General features: G+C 50.4%; 1 protein-coding gene across 1 annotated transcript in view; it reads right to left on the reverse strand.

The window, feature by feature from the left end:
- Nucleotides 791–14,435, reverse strand: part of KCNK9 (potassium two pore domain channel subfamily K member 9) — a 102,286-nt gene continuing 88,641 nt past the window's right edge. The window contains exons 3-4 of the transcript NR_104210.2: nt 11,290–12,627; nt 791–1,554 (exon numbers count right to left, since the gene is read on the reverse strand). The gene's annotated coding sequence lies outside the window, so the exon portion shown is untranslated. The remainder of the gene's footprint in view (nt 1,555–11,289; nt 12,628–14,435) is intronic.

Consider the following 14,435-nt stretch of genomic DNA (forward strand, 5'->3'; position numbering starts at 1 on the left):
CTGAATACTGGCTTCATCCCCTCCAGCCAGCCTGCCTCAGGGGCAGACAGCTCTTCCCATCCAGTTCTTGTTAGGAAAGAATAGGGAGAGCTCCAAGTGGTCAATTTGTGACTGGAGTCTGTCCCCAGAGCCACCTCTGGCCCAGAGGACACAGTGCCATAGTTAGCTCAGCCTGCGTGAAGGTCCACCCTCAGCCCTGGCTGGGGGCGAGGTCTACGACCAGTGTACAGGTTCTGCCCATTGCTGAGTGTCTATTCCAATGATGCATTCCAGAACTTGGTCAGCAGCCACAGGATGGGTTGGGAGACCCACGGTGCCCACTTTGAGATGGACCTGAGCGACAACTCCAGGGATCACCTCACTCCGTAATCACCTCCTCTGACTGCTAAACCACAGCAACATCCAGGCCTCCTGGAATCGGTGTCAGTTCAGAGCCAGGGTCTGGTGATCCCCAAAAAGTCTGATCTTTCTCCTTTCTCCCAGTGCACTGTGTCCCTAGTAAATGGCCATAGCTGCCTTCGAGAAAGGCGATGAGAAAAATTCACAGGATAAATGTGTGGCAGTGTACCAGGGTGCTTCCTCAAGGGCACTGGGTCTCCCTTTCATTCAATGGCTTCTGGGTCTGTACCCTGGCTCAAGTCTGGGCTATTGCAAGGAGCAGCAAAAAGGGGCAGGTGCCAGGCAAATAAACACACTAGAAGCCACTTTCCATGGTAGACGCACAGCCAACAGGAACACATTCCGGCACGCATACGGCTGAGCTAAAAATAATAACCACAAAGGCAGCATCTCAGAGTGCCTGGCATGTAGCTGCATTTATTACAAGCATCACATACATTATCTCAGTAGGTGCTTTGACTCACAGGGAGATGTTAATAATAATTCCTCAAAAGCGCCCTGTTTACACGAGAAGCCTGAGGTTCAGCGAGGGTAAGCAGCAGGACCACCTGGCATCTGTATGACTCAGAGGCACTGAGCCTGGAAACAGACCCAGTCCCCGCCCCAGGGAGCACTGACCCTCCCCAGTCCCCGCCGGGCCCTGCAGGAGGGCCAGGTGAGAGAGTTGCAGACGGGGAAACCCCACGGCACGCAGGCTCTGAGTCTGTTTATGAACGCGATTCTTGGTTGGTGAGGCTGACTCATTTGAGTTGCGAGGCAGTGGACTTGAACTTCTCAGACGATTTCCCCAACTGAGTAGTGACAGACCTTCTAGCTCTGTGGCCCGGCCTTTAAGAGGTTGTCTGGGCTATGCCAGCGAGCCAGGCACCTTGAGCTCCATCCAAACCGTTCTCTCTTTGGATGAATGAGTCGGCTCTCAGGTGGACTTGGCAGGATTAGAGTCACAGCTGAGGCTTGACTGGTTCCTTACAGCCACCAGCTCTAGACACATTTTGAAAAGCGAGATCTGGATTTTTATCCGAAGCTGGTGCCATTCTAATTCAACCTCTGCCACTGCTGGTTAAGAGATGCTGAGGATCCAGGGAAGGATGAGGCTGCCTCACTTACAGAAGGAGAGAGCTGTCCCCGTCCTCTGTTGGGGCCGCCTGCACGGTCCTGTTTTAAGGAGGAAACACAAAGAATTGAAAGTGAAAATCACATTTGAAATGGAAAAGCTCTATGGATGAAATATTGCTTAAAAGTCCCTGAATGAGGGTGAAACTGGAGTAGGCAATATTTAACCCAGATAATTAAGACCCCCTGCTCCTGATGTAAGATTTTATTGCATGTTAGGTTCTCTATAGAGACCCCTCTTACTGTTTGGGAAGATGATGTCAGCCAGTCATTAACTCAGATATTTATTGTGAACCCGCATGTGTCAGGCACTAACCGCCTGAGGAACGGTGTCCCCAGGAACAAACCTGGAGCAGTCAGGATAGGCTGACAAACCCCTACGTCATAGTGGCTTGAAGGTTTTTTCTCACCGTTTGTGTCCACCATGGGCCAGCTGGGGAGTCCCCACCTTACCTCCTCTCTTCAGGACCTGGGCTTAGCCACTGTCTTGAAACTTGCCTGTCAGTGCAACAGAAGGAAAGAAAGTCCTGGAGGGTCTCACACAGTTCAGGTTGCAGCCGGGAAGTGATCTGTGCAGCTTCACCTGTGATTCATTGGCCAGAACTAATCACATGACCGCACCCACCCAGGGGACCAGGAAGTGCAACCCTGATAGGCCTGGAGGGTGCAAAGATGGGAGGGGCTGCTGCACAGCCTTGACGATCGATCACAGGCATGCAGGATGGGTTGGTGATGAATGCCACCAGTGTTCCGGGGAAAACGGATTGATCAGATTTGCTCAGGAACCCCCTAGGTTGGCAAAGTTCAAATTTTTCTTTAAGACAGTAAATACTGTTAGATGTCTTGTGGTGTGAGTTGTAAATCTGCACAAAAGGGACTTAGAACGCAGCAATGCCTGTTACATTTTTTTGGAGGGTGGTGGGAGACCTTATAGGACCAGCAAGCTATGGAAAGCATTTTAGGAGATGCTCTGAGAATTACCAGAAAAGAACTTAGCACGCAATGCCTACCACACGATGATAGGAACTGCTTAGCACAGGTGATCTCCTATGTCTTATTTAATAATGTCTACTTGACCATTTGCAGATGAGCCAAGTGACCAAGGACACAGGGACACTAAATGGTAGGGCTCACCCCTCTGGGTTGCTTGTGAGAATCATTATAAAACAAAGAAGTTCTGATACTGCTCATCGTGCAGCATAACACAGAGGTGCTCACGTGAGAAGGAGCTCAATTGAAAATTGGCCCCTGCAAGCTGGAACATCTGCTGTGGCTCTTAATTGATAGGATTTTCCACTTGCAGAAAGGGAGAGTAAAACCTTTGAAACCTCACATTCTTTACATGGTGGCGTATCGCTGCCAGTCATGCCCTCTTTGTCACCGTGGTTTCAGTTGCCCTAGAGCATAACTGCTTTTTCCTCAAGTGTCCTCTTCAAGGGAACTCACAACAAGTATGCTGTGTATTCCTGCTGTGATGTGCTCCTACGGTTCTCATCAGATCATCCCAAATGTAAACTGCACAGAACTTAGTGAAAATCTAACCACATGATGGAGGAACAAACCAAGATATGCAGAAAAGTATTTTAAGTGACCATTATTTCCATTAACAGGTACACGGTGATAACAATGATGACAGTGATGAAGACTCCCTGGAATATGCTCCAAAGTCTCCCACCTGCCCCCCAATTCCTCATTTGGGCAGCGGCACAAGCACCCGTGTGTTTGGATTGAATGACCAGCAGCAGGGGTGTGGCGGAGAGAGGGGAAGGCGCTGTTGTGGGGTTAGAATCTCAGGTGTCCTGATCACACAGAGTTCTCATTAGGGAGCAAAAGGAAGTTGTGGATCGTGCACTGATTAGCCAGGGACTCAAAACTGCCTCATCCACGACTGCCCTCTTACTGAGTTACTTACAAAATAACTGAGTCAGTACATAAAGTCCAAGAAAGATGGTTTCGTATTTTAAGGCAAATTCCTTACTTGGTTGTTAGGGGAAAGGCCTCTGAGTAGGCCTGTCTACAATGAGGAAGACCAAGAGCAAACAGGGTATACGGCCAGGACTGTCCACCTTGCTCTCTGCTTTCAGAATGTGGTTTACAGGCAGGAAGACGAGGCATCAGAGCAGGTCTTGTCCAACCTGCTCAGGGTGTCCCTCTGAGCTTGGGCCTTGGCTAAAATAATAGAAAAGCCAGGAAAGGAACTCAGCCATATTATCCCTTGAAGATTCTGGAAAGCACAGAGTTCTTAGGAAGCACTAACCTGGTTCACTGAGGATAGAAACTGTCTTCCAAAGAGAAGAGAAATAGAAATTGCCTTAGGTCATAAACCAAGAGCCAGCCCTGCTGTGGATCCCCAGTCCACATTCTTGGAGCCACTGGACCCCAGGATGCAGTTTAGCAACAGGTCCTGCCTCATGAGTTGGACGGTCCCACAGCCTCCCTGAGCTCATGTGTCAGGGTGCTGGGGACCTTGGATCCATCTGAGCCAGGAAGTTCTCCTTCAGGGCCAGTGCAGGCCGTGAGACTAATGTTTGGGGTAGGAGGAGCAGAGGAAGAGAAGGATGCAAGAGCCTCCCTGGCTCTCCAGGGCGCAGACTCTGATTTCTTCCCATCATTTAGGTATTCAGGGAAGGCTGAAGGACTATTGTCTGCAGATATGGCTCTAGGGTAGAGCTGTGAATGAATAAAGCAAGTGAAAGTCCCTGTCCTCTGCCCTGTGGGGCTCATGCTTCCCTGGGGGAGACACAATAGACGTGTCAAGTGTTTAGTAGTGGCAGATGGTGATCAGTGCTAGAGGAGAAAGCAGGCTGGAGAGGCACCCTCCAAGAAGGTCACATCTGAGCAGAGACACTGTGGGACGGGAGGAGGTGGGGTGAAAAGAGCTGCTGGTTGAGGGAACAGCAGGTGGGGGTGCCACGCGGGCGCATCTGCACGCCATGGAGAGCACAAGCCGGGCACGCAGATAGGAGCAAAGCTGACCGGTAGGAAAGACCTGGCTTCTAGCCAGGCATCCACAGAAGGGTTGAGGAGAGAAAGCAATCCGTCCTTATTTACATTTTAAGAGGATTTAAGACCCCAAGTCACAATGCAGAGAAAGGAACACGGAACACCCCGGAGTAAGTTTTTCTGTATGTAAATTAAGCCTCAATCACTAAGAATTAATAATTCTTACCAGGGCTCACGCCCATCTGTTTCCTGGATGAGCCCTGGGTAGGCCCTGGGGGATGCCAAACAGAGCTGAGCAGGTAAGCAGGGAAAGAGGAGGCATGGCCTCCGAGAAAGACAGAAAACAGCCTGGCTTTGTGTGGCCAGGTTCAGGAACATGACCTGTGGCCATGGTCTGCTTTTGGCCAGCATCTCCCGTTAATCTCTGGGACAGCTGCTGCAGCATCACCTGAGTGCCCTTTGGAAATGCACCTTCTCAGCCCCATCCTGGATCCAGACTAAGGGCACGACCCAGAAACCTGTCTTCATGAGCCTTCCAGGTGGAGCTCGGGAGCCCCAATACTTGGGCAGCTCCTATGGAGCTGGAAGGAGCAGATTTGCCTTCGATATAAAGAACACTGAGCACCTGCTAACTGCCTCGTTTTCCCTTCTTGTGTCCATACACACACTGGTGGAAAAGGGCAGCATGGTTTGCCTCATTTTTAACTCAGATTCCTTGGCCATGAAAGAAAAACAAAAATCAGCAAATCCGGTCTCGGTTCAGTTGAGGTCAAACTCTTGGTTTGGTTTGGTTTGCTTTGGTTTCATTGCCTCCTGGAAATGGTGCTCATCTACTTTCTGGTTCCTGGATCCAATTCAAGCTGCACAAAATAACTGAGTCAGCACATAAAGTCCAAAAAGGATAGTTTTGTATTTTAAGGCAAATTCCTTACTTGACCGAGGTTGTTAGGGGAAAGGCCTCCGAGTAGGCCTGTCTACAATGAGGAAGACCAAGAGCAAACAGGGTATACAGCCAGGACTGTCCACCTTGCACTCTGCTTTCAGAATGTGGTTTACAGGCAGGAAGACGAGGCATCAAAGCAGGTCTTGTCCAACCTTTCTCAGTGAAGAAAGACCAAGATACATTTGTAAACGTGCCATAGAGATTTTAATGGAAAAAAATTAGAAAAATGCATTATTGTACAACACCACATTAAATGATTTTTTTTCTGTAAAGACATTGTAAAATATATACAGGGCTGCGTACCGCACTCGTTACAAAAGAAAGATGCAAACCCTTGTGTAAGTTACATATTCTACATGGGCTGGATGTCTACTTGGACATGTAAACATTAGTTACTAGTTTTTTCTTTAAAATATTAGGTAAGCTGTGACAATAATAAATACCTCTGATATTCATTTGATGGTTGTCTCATTCTGTTGAACTTCAGAACGGCATTCTAAGGCCATTTGTGAAGGTGCCATCTCCACAGAGAAGGCCAGAGAAGATGAACAAAAGAAAACAAACAGAAGCAGTAGGCTCCTTTTGAATTTGGTTCTCTATGGATGAGTTTGAACTGCTGATTTTTGCCAAGTCTGATACAGCTTCCTACCAAAGGCCTGACACCTTGACCACAATGGGCCTGTTCAAATCCCGCTCACCAAGGGAGGAAGGTGGGTCCTGGTAAGGGTCCGGGACCAACCATTTCATCCTCCTAGAATGTGAACAAACAGTCCCAAGGTAACTAAGCCCATTTCTGCTACAACTTTCCTGATTTCCATCACCCTCCCACAGGGAGTGCTGTGGCAGGCCTCCGGTAGCATCTTCATAAGAACCAAACCCAGGTCCCCTTACTGCACAGTCACAAAAATGCCCAGCTATGCTGGGGGCTGGAGAGGAGGAACACAAAAATCCAAAGACCCACAGATATCCGGTCAATGCACATGCACACACATACCCCAGATGGATGCACGAGGGTCCATATCCCCACACCCCACCCTCCCCAGGAGGTGCCCCATGAGTATATGCCAATCATTTTGATGGGTGTGAGTTTGGAACTAATTCAAGCTTAATTTCTTCTATGCCTGGAGTCAAAAGCAACAAGTTTTCCTTTTGATGTTTTAAGGTACAAGGATACACAGTTGGCTGAAGTAAAAAATACTGTACATCTAAGAGGGATTATCAGCAATTTCTTGGCCTGCTGGGAATGGACTGGAAGTTTTTCTCCTTAATTCAGTGGCTTAAATTCTACTCATCTTTGATATCTCTGTCCCGTGTCTCTGTTTAACTGTAAGCCGCCTCATCAATGTTTTTGGATATACTTGATATCTTCAAATCTCTCAAGTGGGGGTTAATCTGTTTTCTTATTTAAATTTTAATCAACAAAATCAACAGTTTTGCCTAACCCAGTGCAATATCTATTTAGTGGAGATTTCTGATGAAGCAGAGGGTGGACTGAGATGATCTCATAAGGTCCTTCTCCCCCACATCCCCCCGCAACACACACACACAAAACGGCTGTCAAAATGCTATTTGTGGGCTGAACAAACAAATATATAATTAGCCTTTTTCAGTAGTGTGCTCCTCTGAGGAGCTATCAAATTATAGAGAAATCTTGTTAATTGTGGGTTCTGCTTCACTGGGTTCCCACTAATTGTGTTTTTCCTTTCATATTATTTTTCCACCCAACTTCTAAAATTCCACGTGAGAAAGTAAAACAGTTGCCCAGACTTGTTCTGGTTCCCATTCCTGCTCCCTGCTCCTTGGCACTGCTTCTAGACTCTGTGCATCAGGGAGGCTGTGGTCCATGGGCATCTTAGTCCCATGAAGCCAAGGACTTGATCGTCTAGCTCACCTTCATGGCCCCCAGTAAGGACAGCAGGCAGCACATGCTCAACGTGCTCAGTCAATAGTGGCTGGAGAAACGGCTGAATCGGCAGCCCGAGTTGCACAAAGGGGCCCCCGGGAGCTGCCGGGCCCACTGTTGCAGCCCCTCATGCCTCATAGCTGTGTCATCTGAGAGAAGTGGAATTTGGTTCCCTGGAGCATGCTCCCACCCACACCACTGTCCAGGCATCTGGTTCACTGGGCACTGAGTGCTGGGGTCATCAAGGAGACCCCATCTGATGGGAAAATCCATCAGAAGGATTAAAAGGGCTCTGTAGGGGCCGAGTCTCCAGTGAGAGGAGAGGGAGTCTACAGAACTAATCTACCTGAAACAGGTGATGTCCTTGGAAGACAGGATCTGGCCCCTGTGTAGGAACCCAGCCCACTGCTGGAAAGACTGGGCCCTGTCTCTCCAAATTCCCCCACTGAAATGTCAGTCCAGGATGTGACCACACTGTCACTTCATCCTCACCAGTATCTACCTGGAAGACACCTGCCTCTTAGCTCACCTGGCCTTTTCATCTTTTGTAGGAAAGGATAAGTGACTTGCCAAGACCAAGTGGTCCTATTACAAATGAGGAGGGAAAGGAACCAGGGTTGGGTGCTTAGGAAGGCCCCTGATGTCTACACCACCCAGTGCCTGCTGGCTAGAAGAGGCAAGGCTGAGAGCTCAGACTTTGAGACAAAGACTCATGGCTGAAGCTTACAAGACCTCCCTCCTCGAAATCAAGCACTGCTCTCTGGATGCGTAGAGGTCTCCAAGGAACTGACTCACCCTTCTGTCTTCCCAACTGGACCCTTCAGGTGCCAGGACCAACTGTCACCACACTGAGGGAGGTGCTGGTGACAAGGGCAAGTCCTGCCTCCCCACCGACTCCAGATTCCCTGCCAACCTGTGAGTCTCACACAAAGCTTCAGACAAAACCCAGGCCCACCCTGGGGGCAGATTCCCACCCAGTGTTTTCGGTGGTTTATCACAGCAGCATCTGCAGAACAGGGGTTTCCACCCCCCAATCCTTCCAGAACAGTCCTGTTCTCCAGATCCTTCCTTCGCAGACGGGGAAACGAAGGCTCTAGTGGGGCATTTGCCAGATGTGTTTGAGCATCACTGTGCTTCTCTAGCTCTTTCTCAGATCTACTTCCTGGGACAGGCGGCCAGCCTGGGTCACACCACAGTGTGGGAGGGTTCAGCAGAGGCTCTTGCACCCCCACCACAGAGCCCTGTCCTGTGCAGGGGCTACTGCAGGCTTTGCGGGGGGGCGGGGCGGGGTGGGGGTGTACCTGCGCCCTCCAGCCACATTCTACTACACAACGTACTGCACGCCGTACCCAGCTCAGGTCCACCAGCCCACCCTTCAGGCCAGAGACCCCATTACTGCTGGTCTCAGATCTGCCTTCTGGGGGCCACTGTTGTAGAGAAAAGATGGACAAAGCTCTGTGTGATTAGTAACAATCAAAGGCTTCATCTGAACGTGGCTCTTGGCTTATGGTTTTGTCTGTGGTGCTGAGCCCAGAGCTGGGCTTTTGAACTGGGTGAAGGAACTGGCAGACTCGGCACATCTTTTTCTGGCTGACCTGGCACTTATTCCTCTCTAATGCCTGCTGATGTGAAATGCCCACTGCCCCCACCCCCGCGTATGTATTTGATTGACCTGGAGATGACACCCCCTCCCTCTTCCTCCTGAGGCATGCCCCTATCTATGTCCCTTCCTCATGGCAATCTGAGGGACCCATCCCACCCCACCCCGCCCCGCTCCGGGAGCTTCAGGATAGGTACCTGGAAATATGCAGTCAGGACACCTGACTTGGAGTTCCAGCTCTGCCGCTTTTCTGAGCCCTGTTACCCCATATGCCAAATGGGGGTGCTCTGCCCCCCCACCCCCCCCCCACCTACCTAGCGTGAAGAGTGAGTGTGCCAGCGGGAAGAAACATCTTCACTTGCACGGTGCTACACTATATGCAAGTCTAAGAGGTTTGGGCCCCAGCTGAGCTAAGCTGACCTGAGGCAAGGCCCTTTGCTGGGCCAAGTGGCCCTCAGAAGGGGGTAGGGGGACATATTCTCCCAGGAAGCAAAGAGAACCCTGGAGTGAGGAATCCAGAGGAAGACATGGCAGGGTGGAACAGCTGCTTCAGGCCAAGCCCAAAGGTAAATGCTGGGCAGGGGCAGGCCCCTCTCTCACCAGGAAGGGTGAGCTCCAGGGGCCAGGCCTGTGGGCTGCTCTGCAGATACTGATGACTCACAGCTCAACTGGCTAAGGCTTTCTTCCTTTAGAGCAGGGCACCTCATGTGGTGAGGACGGGAGGTGAGCCTACCAAGAAATTAAGCAAAGATTGCACAGGGCTGTTGGTTAATTAAGGATCCATATGTCATTAAAACTAAAGCATCTGAGAGTCACCTGCAACAGAGGGTGTTGGGGGAGGTGGAGGGGGGATATTTTCCAATGCAGCTGAAGTCAGCTCAGCCAGTCCTCCCCACACTGGCGTCCTGTCCATGGTGGACACTGGGGCAGGGTGGAGTGGGCCTTGGTAGCTTGGCCAGACCCTTTAGTCTGTAAGTTAGAAAACTCAGGCCCAGAGGAGTGGGATGTCTTGCCCTAGGTCACACAGCAAATCACAAAGACAAAATCTGAGTGTTGATTCCACCCATGTTCCCTAGACTTGACTTCTTTCCTGTACATCATCCCACCCTCACCCCAGCCTCTGCCCTCCCTCAGCCTCCACCACCCAGAGGCCTCATTTCAAAATCAAGCTCATATTTCTAAGTCCTGATGGGAACAGCTTTGCACACAGAGCTTCTCACCAGGAGCTGCTACCTCTGGGTCACCAGCACTCACCTTGACAGTAGGCACTCCTGGATCATCTGACACCCTCAGAGGACCCTGTGCTGGGTGACAGACCCATAGGTCTCATCTCCTGGGGGGTGAGGGGAACAAGTGCCCACAAGGCCTTAGCCAGCTTCAGTCCCAGAGGGCACAGATGCAGGGAGTCAAGATCACTGTTTTTCATGAAATCAATCAGGAAACAAGTTCCTCATGCCAAGTAAGCTTAAGAATTTCTTTTATACAGCATTTTCCTTTTGTTAGTTTCATGCTAGTCTTTGGTAAAACCAGCAGAAGATTTCATCAAGACAAGACCCCAGGATGCTTAAGTGAAAGACCAAGATCTTATCCAGAAAGATCCCCATATGCAAATTCAAGCTAATGTCCTCTGCCTGTCAAAACCCCACCCAAACAAGGGGATGCCACAGAATTCAAGTTTGGTGAGACTCCAGGATCTATTTTTAGAATTTTATTATGGGGGGAGGACCCAGGAGGGACATCTAGATGGATAGTGCCTCCCTGAAAGCCTGAGACTCGGGCTAGGGTGGTTAGAGTGCAGGACCTTAACATAAACGAACTTTGTGGGCACTAGGGAGTCAGGGAAGGTTCTTGAGCAGAAGAGTGGCTTGAATGACTTAGGATGTGGCCAGCTTGTGGAGGGCCTTGAGATTTATGCTGTGTCATGTCTCCCAAGAGTGGCAGGATTCCACTGACGGTGGGATGGAATCTGTGCCCCCTGTGCTGTCGCACCCCTGGGCCTTGGCCCATGCCTTTGCCTGAGCTGTGTCTCTGCCTAAAATAGCACCCATTTGCTCCTCTAAGGCTCGCCTCAGTGATTTCCGAAACCCATTTCCTCCATGAAGCCCTGCCTGAGTTCCTCAACCAGACTTGATCACTTTTTTCTCCATAGTTTGATTTCAAGTCCAATGCCCCCAGAGTAACTTCCTCTGGGAGACATGGGCCTTGCTTTTGTGAGAAATGCAAACATGTATAAGAACACTGTCAGGGTGCTTGGCACAGAGCAGGTGCCATTAAATGTCATCACAGCATATCTAGTCTTCACAGGCACTCTTTGCAGTAGGTGTTATGTATAATCTCCAATTTAAAGGTGGGGAAACTGAAGCTCAGAGAGGCAAAACCACCACCCACCTGTGAATGGCAGAGGCTGGTCCTAGGCGTGCGAGATGCCAGGGCCTGAGCAGTATCCACACCCCCACGCCGCTCTCTGGAGGCGAGAAGAGCGTGTGCTTGCCTCTCTCAAGGCCCCAGAGCTAGGGGTGGGCAGGAGCCAGGCCACAGAGGCTGGGGGTTCCTGAGTCACTCATGGTGCATGTCCCCATCCCCTCGCAGCCTCCACCAGAAGTGTTGCCACAAGAAAACAGTGTGGACCCAGTTTCCTGATGACATTCCCATCACGGGGCCCAACTTCTTCAGAGTGACATCACAAGTATGCTCCCATAGTCTGGTGCCATCCCTGTACCGGCCTTATGAGAAATACCTGGCGTGGCAGCTTCCAGCCCTGTTGTATGGGGCACACTCCACCCTGCCAGGCAGGTGCCGTTGAATCACCAGTGCTATGATGACCAGTTTTCTTCTCATAGATCTGGATTGGTTTCCAGGGATGGTGCAGAGGCGTGCATTGAGTTACCCTGTTTCCACTTCAGCAAGTTAAGACGTGCCTCAATCACGGTGATAAGTGGCCATTTGGGCAAGATGCCAGACATCTCAGTGCCTTTATTCTCGCGATGGTCCTTCCGTCTGGGGCACTGCCCAGTGCTTGCTGCTCCTGTGGCCGGGGCCATAGAAGGTTTGCTCCCTGGTGCGGTCGCTCACAACCAAAACAAGGACTAGGGGAGCCCAGAAGAGGACATCGCCAAGTCCAGCAGGGAGCAAAAGGGTCAGGAGACACCAAAAGGAAGTGTGAGATGCTCTGTCTCCACCTCAAAGCTGGAGAGCAACGGGGAGACCTTCCAGGTAGTGGGAACGGCACGGGCAAAGGCGCAGAGGTAGGAGTCTGCGTGGACAAATCTTGATCAAAACGAAAGGTTACTTAGCCACAGCAGGGACACTGCGTCACGATAGCAGCACTGAGAAGGCTATAGAACTTGTCAGAGCAAAGATCTCAAGGACAGAGGTCACAAAGTATAGCCCTTAATGGCCAAGAGGCTGCCATAGCAAGTTACATTTTTATGATGATGAATGAGTGGAAGGGCTTGGCAGTCTCTACTCCTCGTTGAGGAGCTTTGGGGGGGCCAGGTGCCGAAAGAGCCCGACGGGCTTGCGGGGACCCTCACATCGAGCGTTTCTCTGGGCTTCCTGTCTATGTGTAGCTGGACCATCCCCACAGTTGTGTAGGGGAATGAGTAGAGCATTCGCCCAGCACAGCAGAGGTCCACTTGAGAAGGCAGAAATCCCGAAGCCGTGTTCGGCTTTGGCAGTGAGACCCAGCATCCACGGACGCCTCTCTTGAATGTGCAGTTAGTTCCCCTAACAGAGGAAAACAACATTTAATATGACTTATTTATCCACAATGAAAGCAGTTACCACAGAGGTCCCCAGAGAGCCAAACATCAAATGCATAAATCATGGCTGCTCGACATCAACGCTGTTGGGTTTTTTTTGCCAAAACTGTCTTAACCTGAGGAAACAAGCAGAGGAGATCACAGGGCATTATTCTATAAGACCCTGGCCAGGACTTCTCAAAAAGGCCAACATTGTGAAGACAGAAATGGTGATGGGGACGTCCTATTTGGGGGAAGTCTGGAACAACAAGACAAGCAATTATGGGAGGTGATCTTGGGTTGTATTTTAGACTCAATAAGCTCTTGGACATTTTTGGGACAATTGGGGATTTACATACAGTCTGTATCAGACAATAAGATTGTATGAATGTTTCTTAGGCGTGACAATGGCACCGTTAGGTAGGAGAGTGCTCTTGTTCATGGCGGACAATTTCTTCTTTGGCTGAACCACTGAAAAGTTGCAGACATGACGACACATTGTCCAAACATCTGAGTGAGAGTTGGGGAGCAGGGTGGCAAAGTATTGAGGCTGGGGGTCTGGGCGAGAGGTCTAGGGAAGCTCATTGGACCATTCTTTGTAATTCTGGGATCTTCAACATAGAAGGTCAGTGTGGGGGACCGTGGTCATAGATTTGCTGTTTTCCTGAATCAGCAGCCTCTATCAGGTGTGGTCAAGAAAGAACCACATAGAATGGATTTATGCTCAGCGCTTTGGGGAGCCCAGAATGCACCTGGCCTTGGTTTGTGACCACCATGGTTCTCTCTGCTATTGCCGGTCCCTCTTCATCTTCCCCAGCTCCCCATCCCCTGCCAAACAAAGTGATTTTTGGCTTTCTTCTGGGTGGCTCAAGCTTCAAGTGTGCCCAGGGATCAGAACATCCAGGCCAAATGCTTTTGTGGGTCAAATTGGTTTTGTGCTAAGTGCCCATAAATCTCACCCAAGCTGTCTCGTTGTGTTGATGGGGAAGCCCCAGAGGCCCAGGGAGTGAAATGACTTCCAGGAGCTCAGTGGAGCACAGCACAATAACAGGTCCCCTGCCTGCCATCCTGTCCTCATCTACGGTGTTTCCAGGGTCTGTGCTGGCCACGACTCTGGAGGAAACCCACTTTAGACCCACAGGCAGCTGGCCTGCATGGGACAGACCCCAAGTCACTCCACTTCCAGAACAAAGCCACAGTTTGCCAGAGTGCTTCACTGATGACGGGGCCAGTGCACTGATAGGACAGGGGCAGGCGCCTCTGCAGAGGGCTTCAAAGGGTATCTTGGGGCCTGTCATTTGAAAAAGAATATTACAAAAAGAAATGGAGCCATAAGCCTCAGTGATGGTGGTTTTTTGGTCATTTTCTCCTTGCTCACCTCCCTCTCCTGGCCAATGTGCACAGACAAGGGAGGCCTCTGAGAAACCCTGTTCTTCCCTCCAGCTGCAAGTGATTGTCAGTGAGAATCAGGACCCATTGGCTTCCAGATATGGATGAGGCAGAGAAAAACGACCTGCCTAGGCTTATCTGCAAGCTTCTCATGCTGTCCCAATGTTCTCTTAAGGCCCTGTGCACAGATAAGGAACAGGTGAGCTGAGATTCATCAATCTCCCTCCCTTTGATGGGTGGGGTTTTAATGAGCACCTCCCAAGGAGGCTTTTGTGGACAGTGGTCTAAGTCCATTTGCCAACTCTCCTGAAAGGATGATGGACCCCAGTGGGAATCCTGGGCTGCAAATGAGCTGCTGTGACCATGCCTGAATGCAGGCATTCCCCTCCCAATCAGCCATGCACA

The sequence above is a fragment of the Homo sapiens genome, chromosome 8 (genome assembly GCF_000001405.40).
Source record: "Homo sapiens chromosome 8, GRCh38.p14 Primary Assembly".
In the NCBI taxonomy this organism is placed as follows: Eukaryota; Metazoa; Chordata; class Mammalia; order Primates; family Hominidae; genus Homo; species Homo sapiens.